Source organism: Homo sapiens, chromosome 2, assembly GCF_000001405.40.
Source record: "Homo sapiens chromosome 2, GRCh38.p14 Primary Assembly".
Taxonomy (NCBI): domain Eukaryota; kingdom Metazoa; phylum Chordata; class Mammalia; order Primates; family Hominidae; genus Homo; species Homo sapiens.
Window position 1 is genome coordinate 218,218,209 of NC_000002.12, and position 17,989 is coordinate 218,236,197.

General features: G+C 42.1%; 1 protein-coding gene across 4 annotated transcripts in view, besides 1 other annotated feature; it reads left to right on the top strand.

The window, feature by feature from the left end:
• The window catches only part of ARPC2 (actin related protein 2/3 complex subunit 2), a 37,160-nt gene that overhangs the window by 1,020 nt on the left and 18,151 nt on the right, over positions 1 to 17,989 (top strand). For 3 of the 4 annotated variants that reach the window (NM_152862.3, XM_017003113.2, NM_005731.3), the window contains 3 exons: positions 7,712 to 7,746; positions 10,530 to 10,642; positions 16,144 to 16,189. In NM_152862.3, coding sequence (NP_690601.1) covers positions 7,712 to 7,746; positions 10,530 to 10,642; positions 16,144 to 16,189 — 194 coding nt within the window. Of the gene's footprint in view, positions 1 to 7,711; positions 7,747 to 10,529; positions 10,643 to 16,143; positions 16,190 to 17,989 lie in introns of those variants that run through there. The other variant, XM_047442808.1, reaches the window with a different exon arrangement.
• Positions 4,612 to 4,661: a silencer, noted in NCBI's record as "silent region_12312". NCBI's record gives its function as "represses an Ori minimal core promoter by ATAC-STARR-seq in GM12878 lymphoblastoid cells {active_cell/tissue: GM12878}" and the evidence as "EXISTENCE:reporter gene assay evidence [ECO:0000049][PMID:35858748]".

Below are 17,989 nucleotides of genomic sequence, written 5' to 3' on the forward strand. Positions count from 1 at the left end.
TTGAGGTTCTAATGCTCTCTCCTCACCCACTAGCCTTTATCTGGTTATCTTGTAAATTCTTACATCAAGACCCTAGGTCTGTGATTTCTTCTGTGGTAGCCCTGGCCCAGTTACACACTTCAAAGACTCCAGAATCTATAAAGTTCTTAGATAACCTGTCTTTACGATTGGACTTTTTAAAAGATGGGCTTAGGGCATCTTTCCAAGGCAGCCTCTCTGCCAAACACAAGAATCAGTAGAAGACAATCTGCTCCTCCAAAGCTGCTTTGCTTTTCTAGTATAATATTTAAAACATGAGCTAAGGATTTTGGGTTCTAATTTTTGGTGGCCTGTGGCCAGTCCCTTTGCCTCATTTCCCTATGTATGAGCATGGGGCTTCACATCTGGGTTTCACAGTTAATAAGTGCAGACCGTTTCTGGTGAACTGGGAACTAGTAATAGGAAAGTGCTTGCAGATCCACAGATGGGAGAAGATTGGTAGAGGGGAATTTTTAAGTGGTCATAATGTACTTGTGGCTTGGAGGCATTAGAAAGTATTAACTGCCATTTAAATTGAATATATAGTATGTCCTGTCTCCTTTATAAGGCCACAGATTTTATCTGTAAAACAAAGCACTACTTTCCTTGAAGTAATACGTGTAGTGAGCAGTACTGTTTCCTGCCAGGGGCTGCAGTTGGTTATATTTGAGGCTGACTTGCTTCTTTCTTGTCTTAGCCTCTCTTACCAGTTTCTTTGCATTTTAAATATTCAAATGAATCAGCCCAGAGTCTTATTTTGGGTGATTGCTGTATACTTTTTTCTGAGCAGTGTAACACATAGGAGGAAGTTGAATTAACTTCTGCATTTTCATAACTGATCTTAATGCATTCTCAGGTCCAGACTAGCAAAGAATGAGACCTGGGCGGTTATAAGCTGATCTACAAGATAAATGGCTGTGTATTTTCAAGTAGAGGCATGTCTTTTAACATAGGAGTACATTCTCATCTATTTGTGTATTAATGACTTGTGATTCCAAAATGTGGCCCATTATTCGGAACTTCAGTTCTTTCTTTTTCTTTTAGAAAATTATTCTTAAAAAGAGAAGCTAACCATTTCGGAGGGATTAAATAGGCCCTCAAGTCTGGAAGACATAAGTTAGAACTTCCAGGACTTTTTTTTTTTTTTCCGAGACAGAGTCTCTCACTGGCTGGAATGCAGTGGCGCGATCTCTGCTCACTGCAACCTCGCCCTCCCAGGCTCAAGTGAGTCTCATGTCTCGGCTTCCCAAGTAGCTGGGATTACAAGCACGTGCTACCACACCTGGCTAATATTTGTATTTTTAGTAGAGATGGGGTTTCACCATGTTGGCCAGGCTGGTCTCAAACTCCTGGCCTCAAGTGACCCGCCCGCCTCGGCCTCCCAAAGTGCTGGGATTACAGCACTGCTCCTTTCCTCAGGACATTTTTTACAAAGATATGCATTGTAGGGAAGCTGTATAGGGGGTGCACTGGTGTGTATGCTTGTGCACATGTGCGGGTGTATGTGTGTATAAATCTAGGCTTTTATTCTGGCCCATCTCCCCCTTTGAGATGTGGTTTTCAATAAGCAGGCTCAAAACATTCTGCTGAAAATTTGAAACTTTGAAAATCTTTAAAAAAAAAGAGACCATGATATTGTGCCTGGTAGGCAGGGCTCTCCTGGGATTACAGATGTATCACCCAGTAGAAGCCCGAATGAAGCAAATGTAAATTATCAGACATTCCAGTAAGGTAAGGCAAGGTGCATGCCTATTCCAGAACTTACAGCAGAGTTTGCCTAGTGTGGTTATCATAAACATGTATGGGATTCTACCAGTGCTCAGCCCAGGCAGCAACAGAAAAAAAGGGGCCTCTCTGAGAGCCTATTAGCCAAGTTAGGGAGGTGCTAAGGGGTGAAAGGTGTTGGGGTGGAGATCAGAGAAAGACATTAAAGGGAGTAGTTTGGAGGAGAAACCCTGGAGATTTGAAAGGCTTTGCTGGTGTGGGAACCTGCTAGGAGAGGTCAGCTCCACCCTACTTTTTGCACTTCTCAGAATAAACCGATGGGGGAAATTACAGTTCGGAGCAGCCTTTTCCAGAGTGCATCTTCCATCTCTGTGATGTCCAATAAGATAGCCATACAAAGTGGCTGGCTAAATTTAAGTAAAAATTAAGTTGAAATAAAATTGAGTTCCTCGGTCACACTAGCCACATTTCTGGTGCTCATTTGCCACATGTGGCTGGTAGCTGTTGTATTTAGCACAGACATGGAACATTTCCATTATTGCAAAGTTCTATTAGCACTGTTCCAGCTTCTGAAAATGAAAGCATGAGATGGTCTTAAAAATAGTTCTGTGGCATATACTTCAGAATATAGTTGCATTAATTTTCCATTTGAAGTTGATTTTTTTTTTTTTTAATGATTCCTCTCAGATCATCCTGCTGGATCTTCTCACCAGTGGCCTCCTACTAAAAGTATCAGCTTTCTTTTGGGTAAAGCAGTGTTGTCATCTAAACTGTTTAAGAATACATTTGATCATAACCTTTTAATTTGGAGGCAGTTTGACAAAGCCTAAGGTTCATTCCAAACAGATTGCTTTTTAATTTTTTCCTACACACTTCTGGGAAGTGGCTTATTGAAACAACTCATAGATTGTCACAAAATAATAATTATTGGTAAATTGTCTTCCCAGCAGCCCACAAACTAAGAGAATGTGACTGACTTAAAAGCTATGCCCAACACTGCAAATAACCTCATGCACAGGTCTGATCAACAGCATTGCCTTTTCATTTGGAAATTCTTACCCAGACCCTCAAAGCAAAAGTAATCAGACAAATTAATTTAATTCTTTCGTTAGTGTACACACCAAGAACCGTTTCATAACTGAGAAGCTAGGCCTGTCAACTTAGCTGGAGTCTGGAGTCCAAAATTGAGGAAATTCTGTCAGATGCAAATTGCTGTTGGATTTAAGTGTGTGCTGGCTCCGTGCCACAGCCAGTGTATATTGCGGGGAGCTGTGGTTCCATGGGGGGGAGTGAAACTCAGTAAGCAAGCAGTGCCAGTTGGGGTGGGCGAGGATGATGGGAAGAGAAATTTGAAAAAGGAATAAATTAAATCTTGCTGATACTCTGTTCTCATTCCCAAATATATTGCATATGTCCTCAGAGAGACAGGCTGTTTGGAGTGATTTGGAATTAGGACATTGTTTAAGCATTTAGAAGAAATGGAATGTTGTGTCCAACTCAGTAAGAAGACCTGGTTGGTCTTTTTACAGGTCACTGTAGTTAATTACACACTGCCACCTGTCCTGTGGCCTACTTGGGACCACTTTGGTCCTGAAGCCCCAGAGCTGTGCTGGACCAAACTGATAACTCCTTAAGAGCTGGGTCTATCACTTTAATCATCTTTGTTTCCCCAGCATCCTCATTGTGTATATAGTCAACTCAGTAAATTGGTTTATTGAAGAAATTAATGAAGCCAGATAGAATGATTCCTTGTTTCTTTAGGAGCTGACATTTTTGTGACATTGAGTAAATCAGCTTTTAGGTCTCTGTTCTCCATATTTTGATATATGGCTTAGTGGAGAATAGGACCACCTCTTACCTAATATGATCTATTTTTTTAGGCTTTGCTCAAAAAGAATGATGGGAGCTTTATAGAAGATTTAAAGGAGAATGCTCAGAAACCTTTATAGTGAGCAGAATTCAGTAATTCCTCTAATTCAGGACATAAGAAGGGATAAGTAGGAGAGAGACATAAATGCCCAAATGGGGAATTGGGGCCAGGCACCCTGGCTCACGCCTGTAATCCCAGCACTTTGGGAGGCCAAGGAGGGCGGATCACTTGAGGTCAGGAGTTTGAGACCAGCCTGGCCAACATGACAAAACATATGTCTACTAAAAATACAAAAATTAGCCAGGTGTGGTGGCGCACACCTGTAATCCCAGCTACTCAGGAAGCTGAGGCTGGAGAATCACTTGAACCCAGGAGGCGGAGGTTGCAGTGAGCAGAGGTGGCACCACTGCACTCCAGCCTGGGTGACAGAGCGAGACCCCATCTCAAGAAAAAAGAAAAAAATGGGGAATTGGATCCTAGGGTGCATTCAGGAGTAAAAACCCCAAAGTTGTTAATGAGAAAAGAAGATGAGATAATACAGTTGCCAGAAGCCCTTTCTGGATTGATTATTGACATTCTAGAAGCTTCCTTAGAGAAAAGATAGAAGAAAATTTTTTCTAAAGGGTTTTAAGAATAGCTCTTAAAACCTGTCTGAATGAATTGATTATGTTTTAGTGTCTTGGGTTGTCCAGGCAGTAACTCTGAGGACTTACCCAGCCGGCTTGTTCTAGGATTCCAGACATTACAGCAGTCTGACACTTATAGGAGTTCTGTTTTTCCTTGTACTGCTAACCAATTCCTGATTCAGGGAATTACCGCAATCCTAAAACCTCTCCCAACCACAGCTTCAGAGTCCGATCTCTGACTCCACCTAGGAGAAGAACTAATTTATTGATTACCTTCTATGAGCTAGGCACTGTGCTATATGCCTTAACATGGTTTCATTTCATTTCTGTGACAGATAGTGGATCTCATTTACAACTGAGAAAACCAGGGCTCTTGAGGATTGGGGGTGGGGGTAGATATTGAATAAGTAACTACTACATATTAAGTAAGCACCGTGCAGGCATCCTTCACTGTGATTCTTGACCTTGTTTATCGTATGGCACACAGAACATGATTGTATTTGTATGGCACATTTGGGTAAATGGTCTAGCCTCTCAGAGATCCTGCCACCTGCTGCCTGCCCTAAGGGATATGGGGATCATTACCTCAGCATATCTATAACTTAAAAGACACCGTTTGAGAAACTTTGCTGTACAGTAGTCCCCCCTTATCTGTGGTTTTGCTTTCTGCAGTTTCAGTTACCTGCAGTGAGCAGTGAACCATGGTCTGAAAATATTAAATGGAAAATCCCAGAAATAAACAATCCATTAATTTTAAATTGTGCACCATTCTGAGTAGCATAATGAAATCTTGCGCTGTCCCGCCCAGGACATGAATCATCTTTTTGTCTAGCATATCTACAGTGTGTACGCTACCCTCTGTTAGTCGCTTAATAGCTGTCTAGGTTATCAGATTGACTGTCACAGCATTGTAGTGCTTGTGTTCAAGTTACCCTTATTTTACTTAATAATGGCTCCAAAGTACAGGAGTAATGATGCTGGCAATTTGGATATGCCAAAGAGAACCCATGAAGTGATTCCTTTAAGTAAAAAAAGTGACCTTGGTGTTTCTTTGCTACAGTTCAGTGCTATCCACACTTTTATTTATCCACTGGGTGTCTTGGAACATATCCCCCACAGATAAGGGGAGACTGCTGTACTGCTGGACATATATCATCTCAGTCTTCACACCAACCTGGGAGGTAGATGTTTTGTCCCCATTTTGTAGAAGAGGAACCTGAGGCCCGGTGACATTTGAGGAGCATTGCCTGTGGTCACATAGCCAATAAATTCTGAATTCTAAATAACTTGCTTTTTCTCACCCCCAGCATCTGAAATTTTAGCAGCTGGTAGAACAGTAAATAATGTAACTATTAATTCTGGGGGCCTATTTAGTGGAACACTTTTCCTGGGCCAGTCTTCCTCCCGCTCCTTTGTAATTTTAAACCACAGAAGTAAAATAACAAACGCCAGGTCTTGGAATTGAGAAGCAATCTTGTGATGGTATACTTCACGCTCAGCAAACTCATCGTTAAGGCACTGAGTTCTCGGACCTCTAACTCCCAGAAGACTTCCCATGAAGTCTCCTTTGGCCTAATACTCTCCTCAGCAGCCATTCTCTCTCTTCTAGCCATAAATAGTAAACTAAAATATTAATGAATGTGATTTGACAAATATTGCTAAGTCAGACAGCAGACCACTTAAGATCGATCGTAGCAACTTTTCCCACAAGGATCTGTGCTCAGGATACTTTATGCCTAGAGAAATTTGAAATTAGAGACTCAAAGTGTGTATGACTTGGAGCCCAAAGGTTATTTATTTATAGTTGGTTTTTCTCAGGTCTTTTGACAAAGTAGGAGAGTGAGGAACTCAGCCCTTCTTTGGCTGAATTAAAACCTAAAGGTTAAAAAAAAACTTACTAAGTGATGTAATAATGGGCTTTTATAAACTCCCTGACTCTTCAGCACAGTCAGCCTTCCCCAGGAAAGTATGCTTCCATGCTTCCTCCCATTGGTCATCCTCTTAATATTTCATTCAGTTGGTCCATGATTAACATTTCCATATTTTTGTTCTTTGCTCTTGTTTTCTAGAGGTGAGGAATGGTATTGGACTCGTTGCCTTTGTTTCCTGGCTACAGTTTCAAAATGAAGGCTCAGAAGCAATTTAAATTTTCATCTAGTTTTTTCCTTCTATTCTGAACTCTCTGCTTCTCCGTAAACCCACTTGATACTTCAATTCGTAGAGATACCCAGTGCGCTTTTCCTAAGTCACATATAGGGCTTTGAAGAAGCAAGGTGAAGCTTTGTATGATTCGTATAGGTTGATTTTTCAGCAGGGCTAGCATGCTTCATAGAAGCCAGTTTTTTTGAAAGGTATTGTCTGGCTTCTATATCAGCTTTTTAACACTCATAAACCATGTTATATATTCCATTATTTCCCAGCATCCCTGGAGAGCAACTTAGTCTTCGTTTCTTTCGCAGGTAATGGAGCAGAGATCGTGGAAAGATACGTACTTGATTAAGAGGTCTTGAGCAAGTTAGACAAAAATAAATGTGAAAACATGCGCATCTTGTTTGCTAGCCCCTAAAACAAAGTGGAATCATTGAGTTTACAGGTAGCTAGCTGGTAAGGCAATAGTCTTCATTTGCTTCCTACTTTGGACTTCAGGTCTGTTCTTGTGTTATATGTAGTAGTTCCATGAGGTAAATAGGTTCATTTTTATTCCCCCATTTTATTGATGATAGGGGAGAATGCAAAGGTGTAAGGGTATTTGTCCCAAAACATGAGCGTGATGAGAAAGCTAAAGTTGTAAAGCAGATGTCCTGACTATTCTTAGTGATTTCATAGTGTTATTTTGTGTTACACTGTCTATTTTAAGTTCCGAGCTGGAATTTACAAAGCAAGACAAAACTAGGGTAGAACTAAAGAGGGTTTCTTGAAGGTGAGTGGTAAGTACTTTGGTGATGTAAAGGAAGAAAGAAAGATGAGTAGGAAGGCTTACAGACGGGTTTTGAAGTGGAATAGAACTTGCCGTTTTGTTTATGGCCCGAAATCATCCTTTCTCTTTAAGCATATTAAAACCATTCTACATTATACTTAGCCATTTTCCTGCTGAACGTTTTACTCCTAATACCACTGTCCTGTGGGGAAGGCATTGACCAAAAGATGGCATTTTGTGGTATATAGCATGTTGTTAGGAAATTCAGAATTGAAAGTGAGCACCAACCAAAGCAGTAGATTCAACAGCAGGTGAAAAACAAAAGCTATAGCTGGCCTTCCTTTTTTATCTGACCTTCCTTTTTTATCCTCTACTTAAAGCAAGTCCAAAGGTTCAGGTCCATGAGAAAATGAATTGTGTACTCTGATTGGCAGTAACCTAAAATTTATACAGAATGGTCTGATCTTAAGTGAAGCTCAGGTGCCTTTCCAGTTCCCTTTGAAGGTAAGCAGCAATACAGTCATCTTAACTGAGGACCTTTTTTGTTGTTTACAGAAACAAACCGGAAGCAGTAGAAGTAACATTTGCAGGTAAGCATCTTTATCTCAGCCCTCTGAAGAGAAGGTACAATATGAAAAATAGGAAATAGGCTGGGTGCAGTGGCACATGCCTGTAATCCCAGCACTTTGGGAGTCCGAGGCAGGTGGATCACCTGATGTCAAGAGTTAAAGAACAGCCTGGCAAACATGGTGAAACCCCCTCTACTAAAAATACAAAAATTAGCCGGGCATGGTGGTGGGCACCTGTAATCCCAGCTACTCGGAAGGCTGAGGCAGGAGAATCACTTGAACTGGGAGGCAGGAGTTGCTGTGAGCTGAGATCACACCACTGCACTCCAGCCTGGGCGATACAGTGAGACTGTCTCAAAAAAAAAAAGAGAGAGACAAGAAAAGAAAATTGTACCTAAAATAAGCTTTGACATGGATTGGGTGCGGTAGCTCATGCATGTAATCCCAGCACTTTGGGAGGCCACGGCAGGCGGATCACGACGTCAGGAGATCGAGACTATCCTGGCTAACATGATGAAACCCTGTCTGTACTAAAAATACAAAAAATTAGCTGGGCATGGTGGCGGGCACCTGTAGTCCCAGCTACTCCGGAGGCCGAGGCAGGAGAATGGCATGAACCCAGGAGGCGGAGCTTGCAGTGAGCAGACATCGCGCCACTGCACTCCAGCCTGGGCGACAGTGAGACTCCATCTCAAAAAAAAAAAAAAAAAAAAAAAGCTTTGACATTTTGGATACTGTCCCTCATCAGGTCTTTTTGAGCTCTTTATAATAGATGACCATTTCATGTATTTAATCCACTGATGACTGACAATATAAAGTTACCTGCTGATAAATTAGAAGTTTGGATTTAATTTTGTGGTAAAACTGAGGTTTTTTTGTTGTGTTTTTTTTTTAATTTGGAAATATTACATTATCTTCAAGTAGCTGTCAGTCTTAGTTTGCCTAGCACTAGAGTAGTAGGGAAACATGAACAGCTAGAGATGTGTTCATCAAGTCAGAGAGAGATGTTGCTGCTTTCTGTTCCCTATAAAGAATTAGGTGTTGGTACTATTTACTTGTTAGGTGAATGAACTCAGAGGAATACAACCACCCTTTCTACAACAAGAGTCCTCGACAAGATGATCTTGGAAGACTTTTGCAGCTCTGAAGTGCTGTTACCTGGAGGCCAGGCACCATCCCTTTACCCTCCTACTAACTGGCATTGCCAGATATCCCTTCGTGATTCCCATGACAGCTCCATAAAGTGATGGCACTCAGCACCTAATTCTAGTTTCAGGAACCTATTCCTAGTTTCAGGAATTACACAGGCTGAGTCAGTCCTGTGTACTGCAGAAAGATAGAACCGAAAAAGAGGGGAGTCCTATAGATTAGAAGCAACTCAAAAGATAACCAAATGCAATGTGTGGATATTGTTTGCATCTTAATTCAAATAAGACAACAATGCTTAAAATTTTTTGAGACAGTAGAGAATATTTAAATACTTGACTGAATATTTGTTTTGTTTTTTTGAGACTGAGTCTCACTCTGTCACCCAGGCTGGAGTGCAGTGGCGTTGATAATCTGCTCACTGCCGCCTCCACCTCCCCGAGTTCAAGCGATTCTCCTGCCTCCGCCTCTCAAGTAGCTGGGACTACAGATCTCCACCACCACACCCGGCTAATTTTTTTTTTTTTTCCAGACAGCGTCTTGCTCTGTCGCCCAGGCTGGAGTGCAATGGCATGATCTTGGCTCACTGCAACCTCCACCCCCCGGGTTCAAGCGATTCTCCTGTCTCAGCCTCCCAAGTAGCTGGGATTACAGGCATGTGCCACCACACCCAGCTAATTTTTTGTAATTTTTGTAGAGACAGGGTTTCACCATGTTGGCCAGGCTGGTTTTGAACTCCTGACCTCAAGTGATCCACCCACCTCGGCCTCCCAAAGTTAACAGGCTGGGTTAACAGGCTTGAGCCACTGTGCCCGGCCTTGACTGAATATTTGATATTAAGAAATTGTTTTTAAAAATTTAGGCATGACACTAGTATCATGGTTATGTTTTTTAACAAATAGTCTTCTGTATCTTCCAAAGATATATTCTGAGTATTTATGGATGAAATTATGTGTTGTATCTGGGATTTGCTTCAAAATAAATCAATGGGAAGGAGGATGTCTAAATGAAACAAGAATTGTCCATGTGTTAATAATTGTTGAGGCTGGGCAAGGTGGTTCACGCCTGTAATCCCAGCACTTTGGGAGGCTGAGGTGGGCAGATCATGAGGTCAGGAGTTCGAGACCAGCCTGGCCAACACAGTGAAACCCCGTCTGTACTAAAAATACAAAAATTAGCTGGGTGTGGTGGCACATGCCTGTAGTCCCAGCTACTCGGGAGGCTGAGACAGGAGAATCTCTTGAACCTGGGAGGCAGAGGTTGCAGTGAGCCGAGACCACACCATTGCACTCCAGCCTGGGTGACAGAGTAAGACTCTATCTCAAAAAAAAAAAAATCGTTGAAGCCTCATGATGGAGATGAGAGTTCATTATACTGTTCGTTCTGCTTATATACATGTAAAATCCAATTATTTCAGCACCAAGCTGTGATTAAGGAAAGAATAGCTTTGTAATTTTAAGAAAGAGCAAAGAAACAAGTGCTCAGCAATTCTATCCCAGTGTTTCTGCTGATTTGTCACATGGATTTAAAATAAGTTCCATTTTACTTACATGCCTCCTTAAAAGTGGTCTTCCTTGTGGCCTACGGCAAGGTAGGCGCTTGGAGAGATTATTTCCCATTCCCAAATTGTTACGCAATCTTATTTGCTTTCCTCACAGATTTCGATGGGGTCCTCTATCATATTTCAAATCCTAATGGAGACAAAACAAAAGTGATGGTCAGTATTTCTTTGAAATTCTACAAGGAACTTCAGGCACATGGTGCTGATGAGGTAAGATCCACATCATTTTCCTTGGGACTCTTGTTTCCTCACCTTTCATTGGCAGTTTGCCATTCATGGAAGATCCATGGCACTAAATCACCCCCACATGACTACTTGCTCACCTAACTAGGGGCTCTTGACTTGATTCCTATAATGAATTGTGTTTCCTAGAAAAGGTTTTGACTCTTGCTTGCTTGCTTTAAAACAATGGAAACAAAAATAGCTTTAGTTCTCCAAAAACATAGCAAAGAATACTTTTCCTTGATCAGTACAAAAATAGCTGTTGCAAGAATTAGGTTCTGTTCTATTTTTGTAATATTATCAAGGCAGATAGATAACTTCTAGCTTGTTTAAATTTTATAGTCTCAGGTTCTCATTCTGGAGGCTTAGGCACAAATAGCTGTCTTTTGAAATTTTTAATTAAAGCTCTTTAAAGCTACCGTCTTTAAATATCTCTTCTTTATAACTACCATAGGGGAAATAAGAAAGATGTCCAGACATTATGAAACTTCGGTGGCCATGCCTTGTTCACTGGCTTCTTTAAATAGTTAAGTAGCAGGTTTGGTTCCTGTTGAACTGTATTTGCTCTGAGGAGAGCCATTTATGGAAGAAAGAAAATGCTATTACACCAGTTTGTGCACGCTGTGGTTGGGTCTCAAAGCAGGAAATATGACTCAGTTCCTGAATCAGTTTTCAAATTTCTTAGTTTTAACAAACTAGGTTCTCCTTAATCTGTTAAATGAAGATATAACCATAGCTGTTTCTTTCTGAAAAGTAGTAGCTTTTGAATTATTTAAAACTTATATAATAAAAGATGATTTGTAAAGGAATATGGTCAAAAGCTTGTTTAATTTTTTAGCATAAAAACTAAAATTAGTCTTAATACCAAGAGCCATTGGTTGCTTCCCTTAGTTATTCAAATGCAATTGATTTTCTCATAAGTTCAAAGAAAGAAGAAATATTTAGAGGATTTGGAATCCAGATTAGTTTACTGGAAAAAGAAAAGCTTCAGAAAGAAGACCTAGTGCTTTTATAAAGCTTATGAAGAATTGTTTTGTAAAAGATAGTGGCTGACACTTCTTTACCAGATAAAGAGTGAAAGAAAACAAATGGCTATTAAAGCAGCCCTGCCTCTTTTTTTTTTTTGAGGTGGAGTCTCACTCTGTTGCCCCAGGCTGTACTGCAGTGGCGCCAGCTCAGCTCACTGCAACCTCCAACTCCTGGGTTCAAGCAGTTCATCTGCCTCAGCCTCCTGAGTAGCTGGGATTACAGGCATGCACCGCTACACCTGGCTAATTTTTTGTACTTTTCATAGAGATGGCGTTTCACCACATTGGCCAGGCTGCTCTCAAACTTCTGACCTCAGGTGATCTGCCTGCCTCGACCTCCCACAGTGCTAAGATTGCAGGTGTGAGCCACCGTGCCCAGCCTTTTCTTTTTTTTTTCTTTTTTTTTTTTTTTTTTTTTTTTGACAAGGTCTTGTTCTGTCACCTAGGCTGGAGTGCAGTGGCACAATCACAGCCACTGCACCCCTCAACCTCCCAGGCTCAAGCAGTCCTCTCACCTCAGCCTCCTGAGTGTCTGGGACTACAGGCACGTGCCACCACACCTGGCTTATTTTTTGTTTGTTTGTTCTTTAGAGAGAGGAGGTTTCACTATGTTGCCCAGGCTAGTTTCAAACTCCTGGGCTCAAGCAGTCCTCCTTCCTGGGCCTCCCAAAGTGCTGGGATTATAGATGTGAGCCACCATGTCCAGCTGCATCGCTGCTTTGGATCAGCTATAACTACCTGAAAAGAAGTGTTAAAATATTTGAATAGACTTTTTTTAAATTGTGTAATCATTCTCCCCTAGACAGTCTTCACTAGGTGCAAGCCTGCACAGTGGCACACACCTGTAGTGCCAACTGTGTGTTGGGACTTCACACAGTTGGCTTGAGGGGTTCAAGTGGGGAGAGTTGCTGGAGCCCAGGAGTTCAAGTCCAGCCTGGACGACATAGTGAGATTCCACCTCAAAAAAAGGAAAAGATCTAAATGCAATAATAATAATCCTGGAAAGAAAGAGTTAAGCTAGATTTCTTAAATCTCCTTTCCATTCTGTGCTTTTCTTACGATGGAGCTCCAGAACACATTGCTATTCTTGTAGCTACCACAAGGGTCAAAGAACCAGCCCCACCCACTCAAGTGGGTGGAGTAAGTAACATTCATAGTGTTGGAGCAGAGTGCACAGTAAATGGCTCCCTGGGTTGGTTAAACAGTGACCAACCCATGATAACCACAGGAAGGTTATTACTTTGTCACAGGCCATTTTTAAAGGTGGAATGCCTCTGCTGCTAGAGTGGGAAGGTAATGGTGATGAGTGATAGGTTGCCTCCACCCATCTCCTGGTGTCATTGGGAGAGGGGGTACAAACTGAAAAGTGAATCATGGTTAAAAGTGCAAGTGAAGTGACAAGGAAGTGTTGGCTGGTTTTACCAAGGGGAGGGAGCAAAGCAGTTGAACATGATATAAATTTGGCTCTCAGTACCTCTTAGATCTCAGAATATTAACTTAGTAAGCTTGAAATTAAACTAAATCTTAGGGACTTAGGGATTTAAACTAAATCCCCACCACATCTGATTTCCCCTTCCTCGAAATACCAATAGTACGTGCAACACAGACTTGTAGCTCAGAGGTCGCATGCTGTTTCAAATTCTTGGGATATGCATGTTACTTTTTTTTAAAGAAGTGGTATATCAGACACCTGAAGGTCAAGTCTCTCTGTGCCACCAAGAAACTCTCGTGACCTTGAGCCCCTCCTCTCAATTCCTCTTCGGTAAAAGAAATACCTCACAGTGGCTGTGCAATCACCAAATAGGAACTACAGGTGGCATTATTTATCTTTTGCCCTTGTGTAAGAAAATGTAGTCTTGCAGGTTGAAAATTTCTTCCAGCTATAGGAAAATGGTTAAATAAATATGTGGAATATTAGGAAATTATTGTTCAGCCAGGCGTGGGGGCTCATTCCTGTAATCCCAGCACTTTTGGAGGCCAAGGCAGGAGCATCGCTTGAGGTCAAGAGTTCAAGCCCAGCCTGGGCAACGTAGTGAGACCCTGTCTTTGTATATAAATAAATAAGTAGGCCAGGCGCAGTGGCTCACGCCTGTAATCCCAGCACTTTGGGAGGCCAAGACAGGTGGATTGCTTGAGGTCAGGATTTCGAGCCCAGCCTGGGCAACATGGTGAAACCCCATCTCTACTAAAAAATATAAAAATTAGCTTGGTGTGGTGGTGGACACCTGTAATCCCAGCTACTAGGGAGGCTGAGGCAGGAGAATTGCTTGAACCCAGGAGGTGGAGGTTGCAATGAGCCGAGATCACGCCACTGCACTCCAGCCTGGGTGACAGAGTGAGACTCCGTCTCAAAAAAAAAGAATTAATTAAATTAAAATAAAATGTTTGTTTCTTAAGCCATGTCATTCTGGAAGCAGTTTCCACCAGGTGAAGCAGTCACGGTGACAGAGAAAAAAATAGGGAGTCTCAGTCTGTTTTTTGTTGCTATAACAGAATACCACAGACTGAATAATTTATGAAGAAAATATGTTATTTGACTCATGTTCTGGGGACTGGGAAGTCCAAGAGCGTGGCACCAGCATCTGGCAAGGGCCTTCGTGCCCTTTCCCGTCATCCTGTAGCAAAAGGCAGAAGGGCAAGAGAGGGCCAGACTCAATTTTTTTTTTTTTTTTTTTTTTTTTGAGACGGAGTCTTGCTCTGTCACCCGGGCTGGAGTGCACCCAGGCTGGAGTGCAGTGGCGCGATCTCACCTCACTGCAAGCTCTGCCTCCCGGGTTCACGCCATTCTCCCGCCTCAGCCTCCCAAGTAGCTGGTACTACAGGCGCCTGCCACCATGCCCAGCTAATTTTTTTGTTTTTGTATTTTTAGTAGACATGGGGTTTCACTGTGTTAGCCAGGATGGTCTCAATCTCCTGACCTCGTGATCACCCCGCCTCGGCCTCCCAAAGTGCTGGGATTACAGGCATGAGCCACCATACCTAGCCCAGACTCACTTTTTTAACAGCCCCTCTTGTGAATAACAAACCAACTTCCCCTATAACAACATGAATCCATTCATGAGGGCAGAGCCCTCATGGCCTAATCACCTATTACCGTCACAGTGGCAATTAAATTTCAACATGTGGCCAGGCATGGTGGCTCACTCCTGTAATCCCAGTACTTTGGGAGGCCAAGGTAGAAGGATCACTTGAGCCTAGAAGTTCAAGGCTGCAGTGAGCTATTGTATCAATGCACTGTAGCCTGGACTACAGAGTAAGACCCTGCTTCCAAAACAATAATAATAATCGTAAATTTTGGCTGGGTGTGGAAAAATTAGCCAGGCATGGTGGTGCATGCCTGTAGTCCTAGCTACTCAGGAGGCTGAGGCAGGAGAATCGCTTGAACCCAGGAGATGGAGGTTGCAGTGAGCTGAGATTGCACCACTGCATTCCAGCCTGGACAACAGAGTAAGACTCCGTCTCAAAAAAAAAAAATCATAATTTTTAACATGAGTTTTCGAAAGGACATTCAAACCATAGCAGAAGGTATAAAAGGGGTTCTTGGTTTTTTGGGTTTTTTTTGTTGTTGTTTTCATTTAATTCAAAAACCTGGAAAGTAGCCAGCAGTAGGTTCTGGTTTGGGGGGAAAGACATGGAGAGTATACAACCTTCTGGACACCAGTATTAATAGCTAGCTAAGATTTCATTATTGACTGTCCTTTGCCTTAAGAGCTGGCTATGCACTGAGTAATTTTAAAGCATACAAGATCAGCAGACAAACAGATCAGTTCCCGAGAGTCCTGGTTTTTTCTCTTTATTCACCTGGGTTAGTGGCTCAGTCTGTACTTAGGTTGATAACTAACAATCTGTTCTCTCACTTGGAATTTGGCATCCTTTTGCTCTCTTGAAAACAAAACATGATTAAGTACAATGTAGGATCTGGAGGAGAACAGAGAACATATTAAGGGTGTAGTCAAGTCCTAAAAAAGGATGAGCTTTGATTAAAGATTCTCGGCCAGGCATAGTGGCTCATGCCTATAATCCCAGCACTTTGGGAGGACGAGGCGGGTGGATCATCCAAGGTCAGTAGTTCAAGATCAGCCTGACCAACATGGAGAAACCCCATCTCAACTAAAAATACAAAAAAAAATTAGCCGGGCATGGTGGCGCATGCCTATAATCCCAGCTACTTGGGAGGCTCAGGCAGGAGAATCACTTGAACCCAGGAGGCGGAGGTTGTGGTGAGCCGAGATCGCGCCATTGCACTCTGTCCCAGGCATAAAAAGATACTCATCTCAGTTTTGTGACTTGTTTGGTGACTAAATCCACTTCCCCTCTGTCTCTACTTTCCCATCCACCAAATGAAAGTTAGGAAGAATGCCAACTTAGGAAGAGCTTGGCAAGTGCAGTACTTTAAAAATAATGAAATTATCATGGCCTTTGGATTAACGTATTTGGTTTTGTTTTGTTTTTATTTTCTAGTTATTAAAGAGGGTGTACGGGAGTTTCTTGGTAAATCCAGAATCAGGTATGTAGTCATGTGAGCAACTATGGAATGACATGGGAAGAGAGGTGTCCTTTTTATATTATGCTTTTTTTACCCAAAGGATTTCGTTTAAATATTATTACAAATATTTCTGCATGAGCCCATTCCTAATTTCAACTCCGTCCATAAAAATAGCTTTTAAGGGGCTTTGCTTTGTCCAATATGGAACACAGTAGAGGTACAAAATTGATGTGTGACATTTTTAACATTTACTTGATGGGGCCACATGACTCTTACTTAATCTTTCAGCCAGAGGGCCACATTTGTTTGTTCATGGTGATTAAAATGGCTTTGAAAAGAATGAGCAAACATTGATTCCCACCCTCGGCCCTTAGTAATTCTGCATACTACATATTTGGAGAAAGAAGAGGAATATTCACCACACTATTCTTGTGATTTCAAGTAATAAAAATCAGACCCTTTCTTAATCCAGTCTTCTAATAGGTTGTCTCAACATTCATGGCCAGAGGAATTGAAAGGCACCGTGTCATCCTTGAATAGAACAGCTATGTTATACTGCTTTAAAAAGGAGGTTTAAAGTGGAAAAACTGAACAGCCTTTTTACCCTGTGATTCAGTGGCATGTCTCAAATTCTGAGGCATTTAGCAGGACCCCAAAGTGAGAACCAGGTAGTAAGACCATTGGAACATAATATTTTTTACTCAACTATTACAACTTTGGTACCTTGATTAGAAAAGTCTTCTAAGAAGGAAGTTCTCTGTCACTCTTAACAGCAGTTACTTGTGCTAGCTTATTTCATCACCTCACCTATTTTTTCAGACAGTCTCATTCTGTTGCCCAGGCTGGAATGCAGTGGTACAGTCATAGCTCACTGCAGCCTCCTCCAAATCTTGGGCTCAAGCAATCCTCCCGCTTTAGCCTCTCCGGTAGCTGGGAACTACAGGCACATGCCACCATACCCAATTAATTTTTTTAATATTTTGTAGAAACAGAGTCTCACTGTCTGCTGCCCATACTGCCAAAACAGAGTAAGGAGGTCTCAAACTCCTAGCCTTGAGCAATCTACCCACCTCAGCCTCCGCCTCCCAGAGAGTTGGGATCACAGGCATGAGCCACCATACCCAGCACCTTTTTTTTTTTTAATCTCCAAATTGGCGGGATGAATGTGTCACAGAAATAAAAGCCAAGATAACACTGTAGGCTTTTGGCAAAATCAAGGTATTAAAAGAAAGAAACAAACAGATCTAGAACAGAAAAATCATGTCCAAAGTCTTGGGCATGCTTGTCACAGCCAACATCCTGACATGGAAAGTTTATGTTTCTGTCCCTGGGCCTCCTTCTACCTCCCACTAAATCATAGACATTGCCAGATTGCAGACCCTGTCTTCATAGAAGTGTGAAATGTAAAAGTGTGTGAAAGTAGTGTCTCAACCAGGTGCAGTGGCTCACACCTGTAATCCCAGCACTTTGGGGAGGCCAAGGTGAGTGAATTGCTTGAGCTCAGAAGTTCAGGACCAGCCTGGGCAGCATAATGAGATACCTGTCTCTATAAAAAATACAGAAATTAGCCAGGCATGGTGGCAGCCACCTGTAATACCAGGTACTCAGGTGGCTGAAGCACGAGAATCGCTTGAACCCAGGAGGCAGAGGTTGCAGTGAGCTGAGATTGCGCCACTGCCCTCTAGCCTAGGCGACAGAGCAAGATTCAGTCTCGAGAAAAAAAAAAAAAAGACCGTAGAGTCTCTCCTCCTCTTTTTTAATGGGTTTATCTAGGCACGTTTGGAAAACTCAGCAAGTTATACTAGATTTTTACTTCTCTTC